Source organism: Homo sapiens, chromosome 3 (assembly GCF_000001405.40).
Source record: "Homo sapiens chromosome 3, GRCh38.p14 Primary Assembly".
In the NCBI taxonomy this organism is placed as follows: domain Eukaryota; kingdom Metazoa; phylum Chordata; class Mammalia; order Primates; family Hominidae; genus Homo; species Homo sapiens.
Window position 1 is genome coordinate 140,976,221 of NC_000003.12, and position 8,846 is coordinate 140,985,066.

General features: G+C 35.8%; 1 protein-coding gene across 4 annotated transcripts in view; it reads left to right on the forward strand.

Annotated features, from left to right (window-relative positions):
- The window catches only part of SLC25A36 (solute carrier family 25 member 36), a 39,160-nt gene extending 34,385 nt beyond the window's left edge, over positions 1-4,775 (forward strand). For 3 of the 4 annotated variants that reach the window (NM_001104647.3, XM_047448440.1, XM_005247575.6), the window contains one exon: positions 40-4,775. In NM_001104647.3, coding sequence (NP_001098117.1) covers positions 40-233 — 194 coding nt within the window. In that variant the 3' untranslated portion in view covers positions 234-4,775. The remainder of the gene's footprint in view (positions 1-39) is intronic. The other variant, NM_018155.3, reaches the window with a different exon arrangement.
- The last annotated feature ends 4,071 nt before the right edge of the window (positions 4,776-8,846 follow it).

An 8,846-nucleotide genomic window follows, 5' to 3' on the forward strand; every position in this document is an offset into this window, starting at 1 on the left:
GATATCAGTAATGTTTAATTTTATTTCTTTCCTACACAGAAGTTGTAAGAACAAGACTACGTGAAGAGGGAACAAAATACAGATCTTTTTTTCAGACTCTATCTTTGCTTGTTCAAGAAGAAGGTTATGGGTCTCTTTATCGTGGTCTGACAACTCATCTAGTGAGACAGATTCCAAACACAGCCATTATGATGGCCACCTATGAATTGGTGGTTTACCTACTCAATGGATAGCAGCACGAGGACTGCTGTACTGCAAAAAAAGAAGACCAAAAGATTACAGTGGACCATGGGATACAGAAGCCAGCATGGCAGACAGAAGAAAAATAGTTTGGGAACATGTAACTATTCTAAGTGGAAGTTTTGTTGTAGGAATTATAGTAATCACACCACATTACTTGGCCTTTCGGTAATGTGAAAAAAAAAAAAAACCTCAGAGCCTCCAAGGAAATGCCTTTAGAAGCACTCCTCTCTCAAAATTGCCATTTTCTCTACCATGTCCCCCAGACACAGTTGGGTTTTGTTGATTTATGGCAGTCTTCTAAACAAAGCCATCCTTAATTTTACATACTGTATTGTAACTATCCAAAGATAGTATTGGCAGTCATAAATTTATAACTTCTGGCCTTTGTTTAATTCCAGTAAAATAACAGCAATGACAATGAGATCGTCAGTATTATTTTCACATTTCCCTGAGAGGACCTGGCACAATATTTTAAATTTAATTATTTGGCAGTAGTCACTGTTTTTGACAACCAATGAAATAGCGTCTAAATATCTTGTATATTTTTTAGCATCAAAATGTTTTGGTTTCCACTGCTGACAGGTGCTTGTTGTTTAGCCTAATGTGGATATTTAAATTGTTAACATACCAAACACACATGGTAATAGTTTGGGACAAAATAACTAGTAAAATGTTGATTTCTCGGCTTTTTCACTGACTGCGGCATGTCCTCGTGTCTTCTCTGATTTTGTGGTACATGAATGAATGCATTTATCTTTTTAGTGACTTACTAGTTACGAACTTGAATTATCACCTCTTTGTCATACTTAAGTATCATTTACATAAAGTGTAAAAGATTTTTTCACTTTTGAATCTTTACCTACTTGCTTTCACATTAAGAATTTGAACTTTTGAGTTTTTTCCAGGTCTATATATAATAGATTACATTTATTTTGTAAAGAAAATAGTAATTTAAAGTTTTGCCATTTTAAGGTGACAATATTTGGGACAGTATAAATATTATAGACAAGGGCCCCCTTGCTGTCTGCTTTAGCAGGTAGTGACATTAATTGACTTATAGTTTTGTGTAAATGAACAAACTGCTTTTGACAAGAAATTTATTCTGTCCTAGTTTCCTGCGTGGTAAATCATAGAAAGATTCAAGTTCATTTGGGTTAAATGTGCTAATAGGATGTAGCTTTTAAATTCTGCTATTGAGTCAGCTGTACCTTTTAATACTTTAAATGTGTTATTTGTATGGCCCTTATAAAGGTGTTTGCTGTAATTCTGTTAAAAGACTTCGCCTATGCCATACTGGTGTATAAAAACTGCCGCAATTGGACGCCGGTGTGGTACTCATTTCAGTATACCTGAACTGTACATTTTGTGCAATGGCTTTATCTAAAAGAATGACGCTTCGTGAAAGCACTTTGTGGCCTTTTTTGGGGGGGAGGGTGAGAGAGTAGGAGAGAATACCATGTTAAGATTAAAAAAAAAAACAAAAACATTGGTCACGTATTAGGCAGAAACAGTGTTCATAACATTTTTCTGGGTTTTAAATATGTTGTTTCGGATATCCTTAATATAAATGTTTTAGGTATTCTGTGTACCCTGTCGTACCCCCAACATTATAGAATATTGCAGCGTGTCATTGCAAGCTTTCTCTGCTGTCACCAGTGAAACATAGTGCCCTGTTAAATTCCCCCACTTTAACTTCCTTGTGATCAACAGTAACTGGATGTTTTTGAGGTGCTCAATTGGAATAAAAATATTCCAATCTATTTGGAGACCAAAGGCAAAATCAGTTTTCTTACCTTTGGAATTATTCGTACCTTTTATGGTAAATTTCAGCTTTGACATGTATTATGAGGAACGTACCAAAAACCGGTTTGTAACAAATCTGTAGAGAAGGTCTGAATCTATCGTGTTTGCCTTTTCAGGTGCCATTTCTACTGCCTAATACAGTGCCATTTGCCTTGTGAAGACCCATAAACATTCATTGTGTTGAATGTAAGATAGAGACTCTCCCTAGTCTTACTGATCTCAGTACCCCACAAATGATTAAGAATGATATGAAAACCAGCAGCTAAGGAACATCTTATTATTTAGTTGTAGCATATTCATAACAAGTGTCCTTCAAGGATAAACATATATTCTCTATTTGTATTTAGCAAGTAAAACTTGTGTTGACCTTTAGTGCATTATATTCAGCTTTTAACAGTATTATGTATGTACTGGAAAGCAAAGAAATCTTAGAGTCTTGGACATTGTTTATTTGTGCAACAACTAGAAAGGAGCAATGAAGTTTATTTCAGTTGTATTTTTCCCTAAGCACAATCTGCAATAGTTTATGTATGACAGAGATAATTCAAAAAGGAAAACTATATATAAAAGTTGTATATAAAGTTTGTCTCTGAAATATTTCTTTGAAGTTTTTAAAAAATCGACTCATGTTTAAAAACAAAAACACATATTCAGAGCATTGGACTTTTTTAACTTGTTTTCATCTGTTTATCATGACTTTTTTATTTCTGGTGTAGAGTCCACATTATTTAGTTTGTTGTACTTTTAAATTTCAAAGTTCAAATCTGAAGAATTAGCGTTTGTGATTTCGGGATACCATGCAGTGGTTTTAATCCCAGGAAAAAAACTATCACCAAAAGTTCGTTTGATTCTCATTATGTAACTTTGTAGAACCATCCTTTCTAGATGGGTCCACCACAGTGAATTTGTAACTTTGAAGTCAGGATAGAATATCATTAGATTATCTGTGAGATAGCATTACTATGTTAGGACCAGCAGAGTTTGGGTTGGTAAAAATAATGTTTGCTCTATTACTGGGTTACAGACATTTCAGCATTTTTAGGTTGGTTTTAAATCACTAAAAATATTTATTCGGATTTGAAGGATTTAAGTGCTAAAAATCAATCCATTTCTTGCCCTTCAATAATTGTCCATGCCTGCCTTTTGTTGTTTACATGCTCTTCTGCCCAGACTGTTAGTAATCTAGGGACCCCCTTTGGAGCTGATAAGTACAGTTCAGCCTTTTCTCCTCAAATATATAATGACTTTAACATTCCTAAGAATATAGGTATTTCTGAATGATTTAAATTTGAGGAATTTTAATACATAAAATACAATGTACAAACTTTCTGCCCACTCAGATCTCTTCTCCATCATGTACTTAGTATTTCCCATTAACCTACACACTGATTTTTATGCTACTCCTTGTAGAAACAAAATTCTGGTTTGACTCAGTTTTTGTGTTTATAAACTTTTGGAATGTGTACCCCGTTTATGTGAAGAATTATGACCTATCAGTCATAGCTAAATAGTGAACCTCAAAAGTGTTAACTTTTGACTATTCATGTGAGGTTTGGTATCTTGCATTTATGTACATGGCTGTAAATTATGTGCATTTACTCTGTATTTATGTTATCTAGCTGACTTTTACTTGAATTGTTCAAATTTTAAAAATTAAAATACGCTCATGAAAATATGGCTTTTTCTGTAATATATCAACATTTTATTGAGAACATAATCACACTTTTTTGGATTATCCTATGTGTGGAACAAAAATCCATTGCCATTTTCAGGTTAAGTTTTAGGCTCGCTTGATTCAGTCAGCAAACCTTATCTTGAGCACTTTGTATCTGTTAGATCTAGTGATGTCTGAAGGAACCCAAAGGTCAAGTAATCCAACTCCCTCATAGTGTACAAAGAAATCTTGCATATCTTCCACAGGTTTATTGACTTTTATCCAACACTTTTCATGTTTTAATTTCAGCCTTTGTGAAAGTTGATATTAAAAATACAGAGGTGAGAACTTGTTAGAATAACCAAATGAATCCACATAATGTTAGATCAAAATACAAATGACAAAGATAAAATGCTATGTAGTGCCTACCCTCTTTACATTTTGTCTATTTTATTTAAGTTTTTCTGTATTGTAGTTAACATCAAACATTGTCCAGTCTTGAGGAAACCAGGACGAAATATATTTTGTATTTCAACATTGACATAAATCTGAAATTGTTGGTTCTACTAATAGTACTCTGCACTGAAGGCACTGGCAAAATAATGGTTAAAATTGAGCACAGGTGTTCCAAGTTGTGTGTGTGTGTTTATTACTGAACATTGGGAGCCGTGATAGGGAAGTAATTTGTGAGTTCATGATTTCTTAAGGTTCTAGTGTGACATTTATACACTGATAAAACTCAGGCAAGCAAAATGTAATTAAATGTTCCCCCTGCCCCCCCCCCCTTTTAATATATATACACGGAGCTTCACTCTTGTCACCCATGCTGGAGTGCAATGACATGATCTCAGGTCACTGCAACCTCTGCCTCCCGGGTTCAAGCGATTCTGCCTCAGCCTGACTTCCCTTCTGTTTCTTTATTTTCGCACTGTGTAGACCAGCTGACTGCCTTAATATGTATTGAATCAATTCAAGATTTATGTTCATAGAGTGCTGTGTTTATACAGTGGTGTCATGTGATTTCTTAATAGCCTATAGATCCAATAAATACAGAGGAATATTAGTTACAACTGGAGTTTTTGACTTGAGTGCTCTGAATCTTAGTCCTGTGTTTTTTTATTTACTACACTAGGTTATTCACCAGCACTTGACAATAGATAGATGTTTTAGAAACTTCGTTCTAAAGGAAAGATGGATAGAAGTTGGCTCTGAATGAAACATTAGGAAGTAATCAGGAACAGAGTTGAATACATAAGAACAGTATGAACTGTCTAGAAGCTAACGTATATAGACCTTAGGTTACATCCTGAGGCCAGTGGAGAACCTCTCAAGGTTTTTTTCTCCCAAAGAATGATTAGCAACATCCTAGAAAGCCAGACTTAACAGATACTAGTTTGTCTTATGTAAGTTGCTCTTAATTAATACTGTCTTTGAGCCTCGGGAGTGTCAGAAGGTGATCTGTGTTCTCTGAAAGTAGTAATTCTTTTAGCAAAATCTTGGTTGCATGGAGAAAATGGCATTTTAACTAGGCTTTGAAACAGATAAAAAATTTTACAGGCTGACATGGGGAGGGGCATTCTTTGTTAAAGGTCAAAGTGTTTTAGCCCAAGTTAGGAAAAATAACCCATTTTCTTTTGTTCTTATCTCCTAGGAATTGACTCAAAAGGTGTAAATGTCTTGAGATTTTAAAACCAGGGGTAGACCAGGATTCCAAACCTAATGTAACTCAGGAGCTTATCAAATCCAACCAAACAATTTAGTACTAGACCTCTGATTTTCTGTTTCCCAGTCCCCTCCCTGCTCTTCCAATGCACTGTAGAATTCCTCCTTGAGTCATTGTCAAGGATAAATAGCCCTAACATTCTTCAGCCATTACTTCTGAATCTTACCTTTTAAGGTTCTCCAATATGATCGATCTCCTTAGTATGAGCTTAAGTGTTTTAGTGGCCCAGACTATTTGATCTATACCTTCCTAAATTAGATACTGATTTTTAGGGTTTTTTGTTGTTTTCCTAACTTGGAAAAATTGTGCTGGAGCAACTGGACATCAATATGAATTAAAATGAAGCATTATTTCACTTCGATGATCCAATCATCTCCCACCAGAACCCCCACTTCCAAAATTGGAGATTACATTTCAATATGAGATTTGGGCAGGGACACACATCCGAACTGTCACTGTACATTTAAGATTTGTTCATGTTAAGCATTTTTAACCTAATGCAAAATAAAAGCATAAACTAGATACTTATCTCTTTAAAATACTTTACCCAAAAGACAGCAAAGAGATAAGAAGAGGACTATATGGAAGAAAAGTTAGGTATCATGGAGAATGGGATAAGTATGTCTAATGTACTTCTGATCGGAGTTCCAGAGTAAGCAGAGAGGATGGAGAAGAGACAATATTTTAAAAGGTAATTGGAGGCCAGGCACGGTGGCTCACGCCTGTAATCCCAACACTTTGGGAGGCCGAGGCGGGCGGATCACTTGAGGTCAGGAGTTCGAGACCAGCCTGGCCAACATGGTGAAACCCTGTCTCTACTAAAAATACAAAAACTAGTTGGGTGTGGTGGCGGGCCCCTGTAATCCCAGCTACTGGGGAGGCTGAGGCAGGAGAATCACTTGACCCCAGGAGGCGGAGGTTGCAGTGAGCCGAGATTGCACCACTGCACTCCAGCCAAGGCGGCAAAGGGAGACTACTTCTCAAAAAAAAAAAAAAAATGATTGGAAAACTCCCAGCGTTGATGATAAACATGAATCCATAGCTCCATGAATCACAATGCATTCTAAATAAGATTAAAACATGCCTATAAACATTGTAGTGAAATGGAAGAATATCAAAACAAAGTGAAGATACTGATTTCTGCTACCTAGATGATGGGTTAGGAATGAGGGTGAAATAAATTTCAGAAAAATTAAAACAGTTTGCCACTAGCAGAAGCTCAAGCTCACCAAAGGAAATCCTGTTCTATACAACTGTAGGATGACTATAGTTAACAATAATAGATAGTTTCAAATAGCTAGAAGGAGGAATATTAAATGTTTCCAAAACAAATGATAAATGTTTGAGATGATGGATATGCTAATTACCGTCATCTGATTACTATACATTGCATGTAACAAAACATCACTATGTAGCCCTTGAATATTTTTTTAAATTAAATTTTTAAAGACGTCAGAAAAAAAAGGATGTGCTTTAGGCAGAAGGAATGTGATACCAGAAGAACTAAGATGGAAGAAAAAAAGGCAAACAAAACAGGTGGGCAAGTGCAAAAGGTGATTTACCATATTAAAAAGTAACAAGTAAAATATACACAATAGGCTGGGCACGGTGGCTCACACCTGTAATCCCAGCACTTTGAGATGCCGAGGCGGGAGGATCACCTGAGGTCAGGAGTTCGAGACCAGCCTGGCCAACATGGTGAAACCCTGTTTATACTAAAAATACAAAAATTAGCTAGGCATGGTCGCACACGCCTGTAATCCCAGCTACTTGGGAGGCTGAGGCAGGAGAATCATTTGAACCCAGGAGGTGGAGGTTGCAGTGAGCCAAGAGCGCACCAGTGCACTCCAGCCTGGGCCACAGAGCAAGACTCCGTCTTGGGGGAAAAAAAAAAAATATATATATATATATATATATATGTATATATATATATATACACACACATATATATGTATACACATATATGTATATATATATATATACACACAATATAGTCTATTACAATTTAATCAAAGTAAGGAGGGAGAGAAATGGAGTTAAAGAGTTCTACAAAGCATTGTGTTATCCAGGAAGAAGATGAAGACTAATTTTAATTTTTGTTAAGTATACATATTGTAATAAGTGGGGTAACCATAAAAGAACATAAATAGTGTAACTAGTATACTTGTAGAAGGAGAAAACATGAAAGAATTCTTTTTTAAAAATCAGTTCAAAGGAAGGCCAGAAAGGAAAAGTAGTATGAAATAATACAGTTTTAAATCCAAATCTATCAGTACCATTGACCCTTGAACAACACAGGTTTGAACTGCAAGGGTTTGCTAATACATAGATTGTTTTCAATAAATTTATTGAAACATTTTTTTGGAGATTTGTAACAATTTGGGGGAAAAAAACTCACAAACTATGTAGCCTAGAGGTAACAAAAAAATTAAGAAAAAGTTTCATATGTGTTCCATGACAGATCCATATATACAGACACAGAAGGGGCCTAGAAATCAAAGAATGAGGCAAACAAATCCGTTTGTCAGTATAGGGTGATTGGTTTAGAGAACTTACCAACAGAAGCATGGTCTTGGGCCACTGCAAGACAGGCAGAGCTTTGCTGTTACCCTCAGCCCCAGGGCTTTATACCATAGAAAAAGGGGGTACATGTTCTGTGCAAGACAGTTAGAGACCACCCTCCAGAACAGGCAAGAGAATCCTGTGTGCATCATAGCCTATAATTTGTGCAATAACATTAAGGTTGCTTTGATCTAAAGGCAAGATTTATAGTGAGTACATGCTCTTACATTAAGGATAGTAAATAAAGTGAAATCAGGAGGCATTCATGATACTGGGGCCAATCATAAGTCAACACGATGGATTAGCATCCAAGATGGTGTCACTTGTGTCTCCACAGTATGTGATGAATGCATAAAATAATTGTAGATAGTACTTTATAATTTACTACCATAGAATATATACAAATCTATTTTAAAAAGTCAAAATTTATCAAAATTTATGCTCACAAACCATACATGGTGCCATTCGCAGTCCAGAGCAATGTAAGCAAATGTAAAGAGGCAGTATTATAAGCATATAAAATTAACTAGTGCATACTTTACTACTGTAATAATTTTATAGCCACCTCTTGTTGCTATTGTGGTGAGCCCAAGTATTGCAAGTATCCATTTAAAATGCTGTGTGACATGACACTAATCATCTCAAATGAGCAGTTCCTCTCTCCGGTAAATTGTTCATTGCAGTAAAAAGTGGTATCTCTTGGTTCTCAGGTGTTTTTTGTAGTGTTTAGTGCAATACCATAAACGTTGAGTAACACCATTAGACTCATGCAAAATACAACTATAAGTGCTGGAAGTGCTCCCAAGAAGCAGAGAAACGCATGACATTACAAGAAAAAGTTTAACTGCTTGATGTGTGCTA